Source organism: Homo sapiens, chromosome 2, assembly GCF_000001405.40.
Source record: "Homo sapiens chromosome 2, GRCh38.p14 Primary Assembly".
Classification (NCBI taxonomy): Eukaryota; Metazoa; Chordata; class Mammalia; order Primates; family Hominidae; genus Homo; species Homo sapiens.
The window spans coordinates 205,498,042-205,512,025 of NC_000002.12; the positions used below are offsets into that span (position 1 = coordinate 205,498,042).

At 41.1% G+C, this 13,984-nt stretch overlaps 1 protein-coding gene across 16 annotated transcripts in view; it reads left to right on the forward strand.

Annotated features, from left to right (window-relative positions):
• PARD3B (par-3 family cell polarity regulator beta) overlaps positions 1–13,984 on the forward strand; it is a 1,074,688-nt gene that overhangs the window by 952,567 nt on the left and 108,137 nt on the right. For all 16 annotated transcript variants that reach the window (XM_047443208.1, NM_001302769.2, NM_205863.4 and 13 more), the window contains one exon: positions 1,855–1,990. In XM_047443208.1, coding sequence (XP_047299164.1) covers positions 1,855–1,990 — 136 coding nt within the window. The remainder of the gene's footprint in view (positions 1–1,854; positions 1,991–13,984) is intronic.

A 13,984-nucleotide genomic window follows, 5' to 3' on the forward strand; every position in this document is an offset into this window, starting at 1 on the left:
CACAAAGAATTTGCTGGGCGTGGTGGCAGGCGCCTGTAATCTCAGCTATTTTGGATGCTGAGACAGGAGAATCGCTTGAACGCAGGAGGCAGAGGTTGCAGTGAGCCAAGATCGCACCACTGCACTCTACCCTGGGTGACAGAGTAAGACTCTGACTAAAAAAAAAAAAAAAAAAACAGGCCAGGCGTGGTGGCTCACGCCTGTAATCCCAGTACTTTGGGAGGCCGAGGCGAGTGGATCACCTGAGGTCAGGAGTTCAAGACCAGCCAGATCAATGTGGTGAAATCCTGTCTCTACTAAAAATACAAAAATTAGCCAGGTGTGGTGGTATGCACCTGTAGTCCTAGCTACTGGAGAGGCTGAGACAGGAGAATTGCTTGAACCTAGGAGGCAGAGGGTGCAGTGAGCCAAGATAGTGCCATAGCACTCCAGCCTGGGCTACAGAGCAAGACTCCATCTCAAAAAAAAAAAAGAACTTTAAAGTCACCAGAACTCACTTTTATTCGAATTTGCTTTGTAAATGAGAGTGGAAAGGGAACATACACCATACACCTGGTATGTGTGTAAGGCAGGACAAAAGAAGTTGAGGACCAGTGCTTAACCAAAGTGATCGACTTGCATGTCTCTAAAGCAAGATGCTTTCTCATTGCTTTACTTTGCACTCACTGCCCTTCCCTCTACCTGGAATATCCTCCTCTCACTTGTCTAGCTGTTGAGCACCTTTGTATCCTTCAGGGCTCAGCTGAAGTGTCACCTCCTCCATGGAGCCTTCTGTGATTTTCTTCAATGGCCCTGCTCTCACCTTGTCAAAGTTTAAGCACTCTGCGTTCCCATGACCCCATGCAAATCTCTGTAAGAGCACAAGTCATAATGGACTGTAGTCTTCTGTATCCCTCTCTGTCCCCTACCTCCCAGACTATTTGTTTTTGCAGGTAAGGACTGTGAAGTGTTCCTTTTTCCATTCCCAGATTTTAACGTCTGGTGCAATGGGGCACTCAGTTATGCCTCAAATGAACCAGATAAGTAGAATGGCTGTTCAGATCTGCCTGTCATTCTTTTGCTCCCTAGCCCTGTATAATATCATGTGATACTGGTTCCACTAAAATAACTACAATAACCTAATCTAAGCTACAAGGGAGGTGCTAGCTGAGCAGTTTGGGGTTGGGCAGATGAGTTACTGGAAAAGCTATAATTCATAAGAGGAAATACTGGCTAAAGTACAGAGAGAAGAACTTGGATTAGCACGTTCTACTCTACACCAGCTTCCCCCACCTTAAAAAAAAAAAAAAACTTTCTTACTGTTTTGTTTTGTTTTTTTACTGTCACCTTTTTTACACGTGTCCTAACTGTACCCATATATTGACATGTATCCCATCCCCAACCCCCACTCCCAAAGTTCATGAGCCTCATGGAAATGAATGCTAACATATTCCAGCCCTGTCTCATATCCAGCCTTCAGGTCAAACAACTGGAGCTTTGTCCCAAATTAGCAATACTTATTGAGAAAATGAGATATCCATATTAAAATGTGACAAAACTCTGTGTGTGTGATTATAAGAAAAAAGTGGTGGGCCTTTTAATTGCTCTAAAAGGTAAAGACTCTATCTTACCTTCTCATTCAAAAGGCATTTATTCATCCCAAGTCAGACATTTGACCCTTGGAACTAAAGGTAGGCACGTAAAGACCACTTTTTGTTCATATTTATGACTGATTTCACCATTTTCCTGGCATATTTGAATTACATTATTGAATCTTCCAAATTTAGATGTCAACTCCTTTAACAAGAAGATCCAAAAGTGATTTCAAAGATGATGTACACTGTGTGAATCTGATTATTTGTCTATATCCTGTAGTGGCCGTCCTACGGGTGGAAGCACTGACCGTATCCAGAAGTTGCGGAAAGAGTATTATCAGGCTCGGAGGGAAGGTTTCCCTTTATATGAAGACGACGAAGGAAGAGCAAGGCCATCTGAGTATGACCTACTCTGGGTAAGCGCATGCATGATTTCAATCGTTGAATTCATCTTTTCTAAGAATGTTTAGAGCAGAAGAACACGGTCAAGAATGTTCTGTACATACCAGATTCTATTTAGGTTTCTTGGGCTTCATAGACAGGAACATTACCCAAACCACAGGCATATTCTCCCACAGAAGCTGTTTATGGAAATCAAACGCCGTGAACGTGCAGTAGTTCATTCTGATTGCTCTCATACTTCCTGTTATATGCCAACTGGTTTGGGGGAAGCAGAAGTTAGCTACTTTAAAGAGGGCAAGGGATCTTTGTCACCATCCACTGAGCTTTGATTCTTGCAACACAAGCCATCTCTCCTTTGGAAAATGGTGATTAGAAGTAAATTTCAAAAGGGTTATTGTCAGAGATGTCAGTTGTTTGTTTATTGGATCTGAGCACTTCACATTCTGCTGATCTTACCGGCATACTAGGATGGATTTGTTTTGAGATAAGGGCAGTTTTTGTATTAGAGGATTCTTTTTGCTCAATCCTTTGACATTCAGGGAACAGAAAAGAATACAGTGACCACTGAAGAAAAACTCATTGGGTTTTTTCAGAGTGGCACGATTCACTCTCTTGTTTTCAAGAAGCAAGTCTGTGCCTACAAGATGTACTTAACTCTTCAGCATCTACAAAAATGCCCAGGAAGAGGATGCTTAGAATTGCATGAAATGTGCATGCACATCAGATACATAGAACAGTGGCTGACATAGAGCTGGTGCTCAGTAATTGTTAGTTCTTGTTACTGGCATTATTATCAGAGCAGAGCTGAACATGGTAATAGCAGTGTCCTTGCTGGGGTTCAGTTCTCACTCACCCTCTAATGATTTCTGCCTTCTACTGCGCCTTTTAGAGCTGCTCTGAGAACCAGGTAGGGGACTCTGTTATCCCCGGTGCCCATGAAAGACACCGGCTCCTTTGAAAGGCAGATCTGTTAAGGCAGGTTTCCTTTCCTGAGTTTCACACTCAGGTTTATGCTCATAAGGTCAGAGTGGGGAGAATAGAGTCTGGCGACTGAGCTGATTCCCTCTAGTTCTTACATCTGTGTGGGGGGCCTGTCATGCGTTCATCTCTACACTGGGGTGTGAAAATCAGTTTCAGGATCCACCACTGTTGGGCAGAGCAACCGGAACTGCTGAGCCCAGAAGATTGCACCTGTATAATGGAGTTCCAAAACACTAATCAGAAGTGCACAGTGCAGATGGGCGATCTCAAGGCCAAGTGGCTTCAGCCTCTTTGGAGAGAGGCAGCCTGAGACTATGGATCGGAACAAACAGCTATTTATTGGTCTTATTATAGATGTTAGGATTAAACAGAATGACACCTAGAGTGATGGGAAAACTTGTCTCTTAGCTTCTCTGTAGCAGAAGAGAAAGATTTCCACAGAATAACAGATTAGATAACAATTCACTCAGTTTCAAACTTGATCGAGATCGATTTACTGCCTCTGACAAGAGATGTGAGCTACTTGTTAGGTAAGGCTCAGCTCCCTCGATAAGCCAAACAAGCAATAAAATAAAGGAAAGTCATTTCCACTGTACCCAAAACAGAACACCGTGTCCAGCGCATTGAAAAGTGCTCTATCTCAAAACCTCTATGAATTCCTATGAGCAAAATAAGACAAATAATTTTAGACAAAGTAGTCCTGGTTGTTTTGACCTTATTTTATATGATTTCCTTACATCAAGCTGAAAGGATGAAGGTGCTTAACTTTCAAGAGACTTGAAGTTTCCTCTGACCCTCACCAAACCTGAGCTAGATAACTATACCCTTGGGTGCTCCCTTTTTTAATGATTCTATTTTTATGCCAAGTAAACGTGTAACCAGACCATCTAGTGAGTAAAGAAGTATCTCTAGTTTAATTTGTGTTTCCCATGCTCCGGTGTGTTGAGCTCTGCCAAAAGTGACTGATTTTATGTTTCCCAGACAATCGGGGTCTGAGGCTTCCCAAAGGGATGCTTGGGAAATGCACTGCCGTAAAACACGAGTGTTCTTTGTGACTGCCTGAGATACTCCAAGCCAGGGATTAGAATCTCAGCATCCTTTCCTCTCCTCTCCCCACGCCAAGGAAAAACACTAGTGTTTTGTATTAAGGCAGGTTTCCTTTCCTGAGTGTCTTTTGTTCAGCGTAGGCCTGAGAAATTACACTGTTGTCTTGCCACTTTTGGAGAGATCTAGGAAAGCAAGTTAAGAAAGTTAACATTTCATTCCTGTCAAGCGGCCAGACCCAACAAGGCAGCTTTTATGAGACTGTGGTTCCTAGAAAGGCAGGTCTTTAGCATCATCACCAGGGCACTAGCTAAAATCAGATCACAGTCGCGTGAAGGGGAAGAATGGGCCCAGGAGAGACCCTCAAGGGATGCGCCACGTGGTCATCAAGGATTCTGATCCACAATTCTGAAAATAGGACATTGACTTCAATCCCTTGAGTAAACACGAAAGCGGTCCAACTTCTCTAGCAAAACCACTGTGGACCAGCATCATCAGAAATATTGTTATGAACTTAGAACTCCCCCAAGTCCAGAGTCTCTGGTTGAAAGGCCCGATGAGTGTTTTCTGGAGTCATTCTATACTGGGGAACTTCTGAACTATGGAGAAGGAAATTACAAAGATAAGTTACCTAACAACTACTCGTAAACCCATTTCAAAATAGGCTAGCAAGAATGAAAGTATGCTCACTGAAGTCTTCAAAGCCAAAATAATGAGAATAATCACTTGAAAGTTTATTAGGGTCTATGAATATTTTAAAATATATATATAAATATATATGACTAATACTTTTTCTTTGGCTGGCCCTGGACTTTCTAGATCTTCTCAGACCAACTTGTATGTAGTTCTCTACCACTATTGCACCTGCCCAGTGGCCTGAAGTCTAAGCTTTCTCTTACTCCTCCCTAGGGTTCTCACTTGGTTTCATGCCTGTCTTCTCTCCCCTCTCCCTTATCCCCTCCCCTCTCCCCTCTCCCCTCTCCCCTCTCTCTTCTCTCTTCCCTCTTCCCTCTTCCCCTCTCCCCTTTTTCCTCCCTTCTCCTCTCCCCTGACTCCTATTACATTTTAACAAATATTTGCTAAATCTTAGTGTAGACCAGGTGCTGATAACAAGAATATGACATTACTTCCACCTTGGAGGAACTCAGGATCCAGCCAGGAATAGATCTAAGCCCAAACAAAATGGAACAATAATATATGTGATAAATGCTGTAGTATAGAGAGGTATTAGCTTCTATATGTACTGAGAGAGAGTAGTTCATTCTGCTGGAGGTGCATAGTTGGAGACAGAGTGCTAGGAAAACTATAGAGACATTTTGGGAGTTGCCTCAGCTGACATACTTTGTTCTTTTTTTTTTTCATACTTTGTTCTTTTATTCTCAAATTTGTTGGATTTTTTTCCCCTTTTGCAAAAGATCTCCTGATTTATTCGCTTTGTTTTAAAATAAATGAATACTTCTGAGGGCTCTGTTCTGTTCCATTGGTCTATATCTCTGTTTTGGTACCAGTACCATGCTGTTTTGGTTACTGTAGCCTTGTAGTATAGTTTGAAGTCAGGTAGCATGATGCCTCCAGCTTTGTTCTTTTGTCTTAGGATTGACTTGGCAATGCGGGCTCTTTTTTGGTTCCATATGAACTTTAAAGTAGTTTTTTTCCAATTCTGTGAAGAAAGTCATTGGTAGCTTGATGGGGATGGCATTGAATCTATAAATTACCTTGGGCAGTATGGCCATTTTCACGATATTGATTCTTCCTACCCATGAGCATGGAATGTTCTTCCATTTGTTTGTATCCTCTTTTATTTCATTGAGCAGTGGTTTGTAGTTCTCCTTGAAGAGGTCCTTCACATCTCTTGTAAGTTGGATTCCTAGGTATTTTATTCTCTTTGAAGCAATTGTGAATGGGAGTTCACTCATGATTTGGCTCTCTGTTTGTCTGTTATTGGTGTATAAGAATGCTTGTGATTTTTGCACATTGATTTTATATCCTGAGACTTTGCTGAAGTTGCCTATCAGCTTAAGAAGATTTTGGGCTGAAACGATGCCACATATCTACAACCATCTGATCTTTCACAAACCTAACAAAAACAAGAAATGGGGAAATAATTCCCTATTTAATAAATGGTGCTGGGAAAACTGGCCAGCCATATGGAGAAGGCTGAAAATGGATCCCTTCCTTACACCTTATACAAAAATTAATTCAAGATGGATTAAAGACTTAAATGTTAGTCCTAAAACCATAAAAACCCTAGAAGAAAACCTAGGCAATACCATTCAGGACATAGGCAGGGGCAAGGACTTCATGTCTAAAACACCAAAAGCAATGGCAACAAAAGCCAACATTGACAAATGGGATCTAATTAAACTAAAGAGCTTCTGCACAGCAAAAGAAACTACCATCAGAGTGAACAGGCAACCTACAGAATGGGAGAAAATTTTTGCAATCTACTCATCTGACAAAGAGCTAATATCCAGAATCTACAATGAACTCCAACACATTTACAAGAAAAAAACAACCCCATCAAAAAGTGGGTGAAGGATATGAACAGACACTTCTCAAAAGAAGACATTTATGCAGCCAAAAGACACATGAAAAAATGGTCATCATCACTTGCCATCAGAGAAATGCCAATCAAAACCACAATGAGATGCCATCTCACACCAGTTAGAATGGCGATCATTAAAAAGTCAGGAAACAACAGGTGCTGGAAAGGATGTGGAGAAATAGGAACACTTTTACACTGTTGGTGGGACTGTAAACCAGTTCAAGCATTGTGGAAGTCAGTGTGGCGATTCCTCAGGGATCTAGAACTAGAAATACCATTTGACCCAGCCATCCCATTACTGGGTATATACCCAAAGGATTATAAATCATGCTGCTATAAAGACACATGCACGCGTATGTTTATTGTGGCACTATTCACAATAGCAAAGACTTGGAACCAAGCCAAATGTCCAACAATGATAGACTGGATTAAGAAAATGTGGCACATATACACCATGGAAAACTATGCAGCCATAAAAAATGATGAGTTCATGTCGTTTGTAGGGACATGGATGAAGCTGGAAACCATCATTCTCAGCAAACTATCGCAAGGACAGAAAACCAAACACCGCATGTTCTCACCCGTAGGTGGGAATTGAACAATGAGAACACATGGACACAGGAAGGGGAACATGACACACTGGGGCCTGTTGTGGGGTGGGGGGAGTGGGGAGGGATAGCATTAGGAGATATACCTAATGTTAAATGACGAGTTGCTGGGTGCAGCACACGAACATGGCACATGTATACATATGTAACAAACCTGCACGCTGTGCACGTGTACCCTAAAACTTAAATAATAAAAAAATAAAATAAAATAAAATAAATGAATACACACACACTGTAAGGTTTGTAAATATGGACTTGAGACCTTAAAATCTTTTCAGCTGTTCTGTTGTGTAACTGTTTTCCCGTCTTAGCTCTGAAAAGCTGTAAAGAACAAGTTGAAAGAACTTCAGTGGCTGCAAGTAAAACAGTCTGGTGAGTTTTTATAGGCCCAATTAAGTAAGCAAGATATACTAGCTGTGAAGTGTTAATATTTGCCAGAGGAAAACATAATACCTGTTATCTGCTGGTATTTTATTTTTTGTAAAACTTAAGATAGTCCTCTGACAACGGGCTGCTTTTTTCTTAGCAGATAAAGCTGATCTGCTTATTTAACAGCAGCATGAATATCCTGTAAATAATTTTAGCAATGAGATGCCTCTGAAGTTTTCTAAAAATATTAGTGCCTTTATTATTGTCTTTTTCAAGAGCTGAATAGCAGTATCATTATCCCCCCGCCCAACCTTTTTAAAAAAAAATTCTTTGGCTAAATTAGAAGAAAGTTTATTTATAAAAGAGGTTTGTAGACACATGGTTGGGAAGGGAGTACATTTGTTTATATATGGAAAAAAAAGTGGGAGTTAAAACATCTTAAACTAGCATGATATACCTGTTACCACTGTCATTAAAAACATGGTGCTGGCCGGGCACAGTGGCTCACGCCTGTAACCCCAGCACTTTGGGAGGCTGAGGAAGGTGGATCATGAGGTCAAGAGATTGAGACTAACCTGGCCAACATGGTGAAACCCTGTCTTTACTAAAAATACAAAAATTAGCTGGGCATGGTGGTGCACACCTGTAGTCCCAGCTACTTGGGAGGCTGAGGCAGGAAAATCACTTGAACCCGGGAGGCGGAAGTTGCAGTGAGCTGAGATCGCACCACTGCCCTCTAGCCTGGTGACAGAGTGAGACTCTGTCTCAAAAAAAACAAAAACAAAAACAAAAATTGTGCTATATCTCTCTGGCACAGGGGTTGGCTCAGGTAGATCATAGTTGGAACAATGAGATGGTTGGGTGAATAAATGTAAACATCTGAAAGATTTGTTCATTCTGTTGTGAAGATGGTCTAGAAGCCAACTTGAAGAAACGTACTTGGCCGCTGATCTGGATGACAAGAGACAAATCTGGTGAATTCCACACTTGGAGGAAAGAGAAAACACAATGCTGAGATCATGCTAACCATCTTAAGGAAAGGATTTAAGATGGAATGTGCAATAGCCAAAGAAGTATAAAAGCCATCAGAAGGTTTTTCATAAACACCAGGAGAAAAGAGGACAAGTGCCATCAATGGTCCAATACCAGAGTGGAGATTTCTATGTATTTTCCTTGTCTCCTCCTTAAAAGCATCTGATAAAAACTAAGTACATTGATGAACAATTCTGGTTTAGGCAATAGCTCTTATATTCCAAAGAACAGAGACCTAAATCAAACTGACCTGATTCATAAAGGAAATTTTGTTGACTTATTTAAAAGAAGTCCATAACCATATCTTGACTTCAGGCAAAGCTGGATCCAACTCCTCCAGACAGGCCATTAGGAGTCTCTTTTTTCATCTGTCAGCTTTGCTATTCTCTCTGCAGGCACCATTCTCAAGGGGCTACCTGAGGTAGAAAGACAGCCATCTGCAGCTCTAACACAACAACTCTGAAGGAGGAGATAGTCTCTCTGTAGATCAGGAAACATCCTGGAGTGGATGTTCAGCACAATTCTCAGTAGCGCTGATTGATTCAGCCTGGATCACGTGTCCACTTCTGAACCAACCTTCATGGCCAGACAGGTGCAGTATTTTTTTTTTTTTTTTTTTTTTTTTTTTTTTTTTTTGAGACAGAGTCTTGCTCTGTCACGCAGGCTGGAGTGCAGTGGCACGATCTCTGCTCACTGCAAGCTCCACCTCCGGGGTTCACGGCATTCTCCTGCCTCAGCCTCCCAAGTAACTGGGACTACAGGCACCCACCACCACGCCCGGCTAATTTTTTGTATTTTTAGTAGAGACGGGGTTTCACCGTGTTAGCCAGAATGGTCTCGATCTCCTGACCTCGTGATCTGCCTGCCTCGGCCTCCCAAAGTGCTGGGATTACAGGCTTGAGCCACCGCACCCGGCCACAATATTCTTATAGACTAAAACTAGGCCACAAGACCACCCCTGGAACTAGACAGTGAAGTCAAGTCCACCCAGACTCCATAAATAAGGATAGGTGAAGAGAGAGTCCTCAAAGGAAAATCAAGGTGCTGTTAACAGGGAAAGAGAATGTAGATGGTAGGCACAATTACAAACTGTCTACGACAACTTCGAGTTCTAATAATGATATAAACTTTCTTCATCTTCTTAGATTTCCAGGGAAAGAGAAAGAAAAGCCTTCCCTTTGTGTATTCTCCTGTTTATCGTTAGAAAGAATAGATCTATTATCAAACTTAAATTTGCTGCCATTATTTGTTATGTAAAAGGAGAAAGAAAATTCACTTTGTCTATTGGTTCAGCATCTTTGAACTATCCCAGGAACCCAGATGATGTCACTGAATTATTCATGAGAAATTATCAGACCTCTGGAATTTATTTATATAGGCAAATGACATTTTAGTTCACCTCGGACCTAGCAATTCACCCCAGAACGATCTGAGTACAGATTGTCTCAGCAATACTCTGGGGACAAATCTGATCCATAAAGGTTGTAGGGATAGTGAAAGAGGAGGGAACAATTCACCCCAGGAGAAGCAGTAGAATTATTTGAAAGGACTAAAGTTGCTCTCTTTCTTTACATAGAGTTGCTCTGTTTATATCTTCATGGATTATTGTCTTGTGACAAGCACATAGTCTGTTCTTAAAACCTTTAGAAGGTGAGATGGGGTAAAGAATTAGAGCCATTAAATGTTTGTATCCAGGCCAGGAGGGGTGGCCCATGCTTGTAATTTCAGCACTTTGGGAGGCCGAGATGAGAGGATCACTTGAGCCCAAGAGTTGGAGACCAGCCTGGGCAACATAGTCAAACCTTTCTCTATGAAAAATACCAAAATTATGGGGGTGTGGTGGCATGCATCTGTGGTCCCAGCTACATGAGAGGCTGAGACAGGAGGACTGCTTGAGTCCAGGAGGTCAAGGCTGCAGAGAGCCATAATCATGCCACTGCATTCCAGCTCGGGCAACAGAGCAAGACCCTTTCTCCAAGAAAAAAAAAAAAAAAAAAGTATGTGTCCATAGACTCCTGCAGTTGGGCTGCTGCCACACGATGGGCAATCCCTTCTCAGTTGATGAACCTTCTTGAGCTCTATCCCAATGGTTCCCTCCCAGTGGCTGACTTTATCAACACATCTTTTGATTTCCAAAAACAGTGGAACTGAGGATTGGAAGCAATACCAAGGCAGAGAAAAAAAGAGAGAAAAAACCATGTCTATACATTGCGTGGGTTTTAGAAAGGCCTGAAGTTTTATTGAACTTGATACTGGTGAAACATCAATGCCACTGGAAGAGTTGAGATTTTGCTCACTTAGATTTCAGCAAGTAGTAAAACAAAAAGAAAAAAAATTGAGAAAAGAAGAGGACAAAATAAACTGAATTTTTTTTTTTTTTTGGTTAGTGGCTTTGGCCCTTTTATATTTCAGTGTGTCTTTCACAGGAATTTGTTGACATATAAGCTATATGGGAGAAGATCTGGACTATACAACATGTGAGTGAATTTCTAGCCTTTAAATATAGCATAAATCATTTTTGAAAGGAAGCAACATGTTTACAGGCAGTCCCCAACATAGAAATAAACTGTTCCAGAAGTCCATTTAGAAGCTGGCAATTTAGAACTAGGAATTGATTTTTCCCATAGGGAAAAAATATATATATATTGTTTGTTAGGATCCCAAACCAGCCTACAAAAACCCACTAAAATCCAGTAACCTTGTGCTAATCCCAGAACAATAACCTTGAAGCAGAAACAGGGAGCTATCTAACCCCCTCCCTTCTTTTCTGGACACATTTTTTTGGGATACTCTCTGGGCCCTTCCCATCTACCGGTCTTTAAGTCTGTTGCTCCAGATTCCCTGACCATTAATTCCCCTACCTCCGCATCATGGCACCCCACTTAAGCCCACTCCTCCCCTAAAGCATTCAGGCATTCAGTTACTTCTCTGCCCTGTCCCTCAACAGAGTTACCATTCTCAGTACAGATAGTCTCAGCAATACTCTGGGGGACAAATCTGATCCATAAAGGTTGTAGGGATAGTGAAGGAGGAGGGAACAGGAGAGGGGCTAATGGAATGTACTCCCAAACAGTAGTGTTAGAGCTATTCCTGATGCTCTGTTGCTACTACACTAGCCTCTGGATTCTCCAGCGCTTCTGTTTCCACGTATGGAGCCCAAGCTTACACAGAGCTCCCTGTCTGACACTGCCTGTGGGCAGTGACCTGATCCCAAGAGTGGATCCGATTTCTCCAGCAAACTGGCCCTTTCTCCAAAGGAAGCCTTTTGTTTCTGGGTCTGCCCTCTGTGGCCCAAGGGCCAGTCGCTACAACTAACATGGGCCAGGATGCCTCAGCTCTGCTTAAAAATCTGCCCTGATAAGATAGCTCTTCTAAACTACTCCTGTCCACTCATCCTGTCTTTTGAAACACACAGATGTCCAGAGTTTTAGAACTAGTAATTTAGCAGATATGGGAAGCATTTTAGCACAGGAGACTCTGAAGCTAGGCTGCCTGAGTTCACATCCAGGCTGTACCCATTACTCACTAGGTAAATTTGGGCAATTTATTTTACCTGTCTCCTTTAAAAGTGAGAGAATAGTACTGTCTCCTTGAAGTACTATGACACACACATGATTACATGTAAAGTACTTAGAATAGTGTCTAAACATGTAGGAAGTGTCAATAAACAAGAATTTTTAAATGGTACACATATCAAGTTTTGAAATAACACATTCAATTGGCCAGACAACCCTTCTATCTTAGTTATTATTGGAGCTCCTTAGCCTCTTCGGTTATTCCAGAGCCCTTGGACATTATATAGCACACAAAGCCTTGAGGGTGGCCTTCACATCCTGCTCCCTCTGGTTACCACTGAGATGCCCAGGGTCACTTCAGGTGGTAACTGTCAAGCTTGGTCATCAGGCACTTTTAGCAAATTCCATTGGTCCAAAGGTCAATATCTATTTCCCTCTCTCCCACACACATACTTTTCCTTCAAAAGTACATTCCTTTCATCCCTGACCCTGGGGGCACACCTAATCTCTTTAATGAGCTTATGCTAAAATCAAAGACCAGAAGAAAGTTGACTTCTAGCAGCTTCTGCCTGCAGCTCTGCAAAAAACCCTGAAGCAAAGAAATACCAGGGTCCAGTTAAGCGCTTAAAATAGGAGGGTGAGATACAAAGAGAATATATACAAATTATTTACTCAATAAATTATACTACAACCAGATCGTTAATAAAAATGGCATCATTTACTCAGTGCTGACTCTGCCTTATATAAGCTATTCCATATACTAGCTCTGTGAGGTAGATATCTTTAATCCAGTTTTATAGATGAGAAAACAAAGGTTCCAAGACCTTGCCTCATGGCCACACAATCATTAGCAAAGCTGATTTCCAAATCTCTACTGACTCCCGGTGAAAAGAGAAAGGAAAGCTCCTATGGCTGGTGTTGAGATACTTCTTAATATAAGATGTTTGAAAGAAAGAAAATGTGTGAATATTCATCTATAAGCACTATGAAAACTGTCTTCTATCTTTGTTGAACTACTCTTGAATTATCACTCCTCTTAATTTGTTTTTGAACCCAATAATATTGAACCAAAATCAAAGTGTGGTGTTGTTTTATCAGTCCTCTTTCAAAGTCTAAATGAAATCATTCTTTTTATGCTGTAATCAAATAAGTTACCCATCTCTGGCTCAAACCCAAACCTAAATAGCAAAGAGCAGAAAAAGGAAGTTCAGGAACACATGATTTTTCCATAGTATGTCAAAAAACCCTATGCTATACTTCCATTAGAGTGAAAAAAAGAACTCTTTCTGCTTTTAATGAGCAATTAATTCCAGTCCAGGATGTCGAGTTTAGAATAGGTTAACTTCCCCCAAACCACAGCCGTTTGTGTTGGATCATGGTTAAAACCCCAAATTCCAACTTCTACAATAATAACATTCTTTTCTTCTACTGCAATGGGAGAAATGACCATTTTATGTAACATAAGAAAACCTATAGCAGAAACCCCTATGAATTCCAGATTTCTTAAACTGTTCTCAAAGCTGTTTAAAATCAGTTGGGTACATTTTATTTTAGCAGTGCTTAAATGTTCTAAAATAAACTTTGGGTACTAAATTAAAAAGTGAAGATGTCTGGAGTCGAAGATATGAATATCTATCTAACTGGTATTTATAGCACATGTATCACTTAAATTTGACAACAATTAAAACTCCACATAAGCCATGTTTGTGTTCAGATCCTGTGGCCTGGGATGTCCCCTCACACAGCTTCCTGACTATAACCAACCAATCAGGTCACTACAGCGGCCATCTTGTTCTTTCAGTTTAAGGAAATTTTTGACTGAGAGTCGTTCTGAGATTTAACATCATTTGGTTCTTATTAAGTAGTAACTAGTCTGGTGTTGTGATGGGAAAAAGAAAATTCACAGAAAGCTTA